General features: G+C 47.6%; 1 annotated feature.

Moving 5' to 3' along the window:
• Positions 1-223: a silencer, noted in NCBI's record as "fragment chr16:53610651-53610873 (GRCh37/hg19 assembly coordinates)". NCBI's record gives its function as "represses an EF-1alpha promoter that drives an FKBP-Casp9 reporter gene in an ReSE screen in phorbol 12-myristate 13-acetate-treated (for megakaryocytic differentiation) K562 erythroleukemia cells {active_cell/tissue: K562(+PMA)}" and the evidence as "EXISTENCE:reporter gene assay evidence [ECO:0000049][PMID:32094911]".

Consider the following 2,250-nt stretch of genomic DNA (forward strand, 5'->3'; position numbering starts at 1 on the left):
ACCAAGGCAGATGGATCACCTGAGGTCAGGAGGTCAAGACCAGCCTGGCCAACATGGCAAAACCCCATCTCTACTAAAAATACAAAAAAAAAAAAAAAAATTAACAGGGTGTGGTGGCAGGCGCTTGTAATCCCAGCTACTTAGGAGGCTGAGGCAGGAGAATTGCTTGAACCCAGGGGTGGAGCTTGCAGTGAGCCGAGATCACACCATTGTACTCCAGCCTGGGTGACAGAGTGAGCTCTGTCTCAAAAAAATAAAACAACAACAAGAAAAAGAGATACCACTTCATTCTGTTGATCTGAGGCCTGTGTGTTTGTCAGCCAATATGCTCAGATGGGCAGGTAACTGCAAAGGAACTGAAAGGAAATGGGGGACTTCTTGAGGGCTACGCCAGGAGTTGTCATAGCATCACTTCCACTGTATTCTCTTGGTCAGAGCAGCCACACAGCACAGATTCAAGGCGGAGGGAACGCAGATCCCACCTCTTGTCGGGTGCAGTGACAAATAATTTGTGGCCATGTGTAATCCACTGCCTGCAGAAATTCTTTTATTCTTTTCTTTTTTTACCTATTGCTCCATTGGCATGAGGAGTCCAATGAACACACGCTCGTTGTGACTTTGGTAGCTCTTGGGTGAAATGGCTCTCCTATCAGAGACCAGGACCTTACAGAACCTATGATTGTGGGGACGGGAAGCACATATTCTGCAAGTAACTCACTAGGAGTGGTGGTAAAAGGGGCATTCCTTTCAACTTTTGGTTTCTGGACCCATATATTTTAGTTACTGGAGACAAAGCACCTTACCAGCTATAGACTTAGCACAAAACTTGCATCCTGGTGGCAACTGACCAGTGCCTCAACTTGCTCAGTTGTATCTGAGCAGGCATTTCAACTGAGCCTGTAATGGGCCATTCCACCATTGTCTTTTTTTTTTTTTTTTTTTTTTTTGAGACAGAGTCTCACTCTGTTGCCCAGGTTGGAGTGCAGTAGGCTTATCACAGCTCATTGCAGTCTTGACCTCCTGGGCTCAAGTGATCCTCCCACCTCAGCCTCCCAAGTAGCTGGGAGTACAGGTGTGTGCCACCATGCCCAGCTGATTTTTAATTTTTTTTTTAGCTCACTATTTTGCTCAGGCTGGTCTTGAACTCCTGGTTTCAAGCAATCCTCTTGCCTGGGCCTCCCAAAATGTTGGGATTACAGGCATTAACCAACATGCCCAGCCCATTTCTTTTCTTTTTTGAGACAGAATCTTGCTCTGTCACCCAGGCTGGAGTACAATGGTGTGATTTCGGCTCACTGCAGCCTCCGCCTCCCGGGTTCAAGTGATTCTCCTGCCTCAGCCTCCTGAGTGGCTGAGACTCCAGGCACACAACACCACACCCAGCTAATTTTTGTATTTTTAGTAGAGACAGGTTTTCACCGTGTTGACCAGGCTGGCCTCGAACACCTGACCTCAAGTGATCTGCCTCAGCCTCTCAAAGTGCTGGGATTACAGTCATGAGCCACTGTGCCCGCCCAAGCCCATTTCATCATTTTATTAGGGTGGCTGCTTTGGGCATGGCAGTGTAGGGTAGAACCAATCACATGTTCTCTTTCATAACAGGGGTCCAGTGATCTGAGGCAATGTTACATGGGATCTCATTGGGTAAATCAAGCCTTTGTTATCCCTCTAATGGTAGTATTGCTAGAGGCATTCTGGACCAGGAAGGCAAACATATCCAGAGGAGGTATCAATTCCAGTAAGAACAAATTACTGCTTTCTACAGAGTAGAAGGAGTCCAGTGTAATTAACTTGGCATCAGATGGCTGGCTGATCTCCTTGAGGAGTGGTACCATAACAAGCAAGGACTTAGTGTTAGTTGAGTTACGCTGGGCATTCAGCAGTGCAGTAGTTAGGACCAGCCTTGGGAGAGGGAGTCCATCATATTGGGCCATGCATGTCTTCCAGCTGTGCTACCATGGGCACTCCATTCACGGGCTTGTTGAGTTAGCACTAGAGTGGCCAAAGAAAGAGACAAATTAGACCAGTCATCCCATCTACTGGATTGCTGAGGGCCTACTTCTGGTGAGCATGGACACCAGACACAAAAATAGGTGTTCTTTGTGCCCCTTCCCATGCTTCTTCTCCAGACCTCTTTGTTTGGAGGTCTGCCTATTTGTTTCCCATTCTGCCTCTTCCAGGTCCTTGACCAATCAACCAGCCATCTGTCACTCTCTAGGAGTCTGTGTACCTCAGGCCACTTCTTCCTCC

The sequence above is a fragment of the Homo sapiens genome, chromosome 16, assembly GCF_000001405.40.
Source record: "Homo sapiens chromosome 16, GRCh38.p14 Primary Assembly".
Classification (NCBI taxonomy): Eukaryota; Metazoa; Chordata; class Mammalia; order Primates; family Hominidae; genus Homo; species Homo sapiens.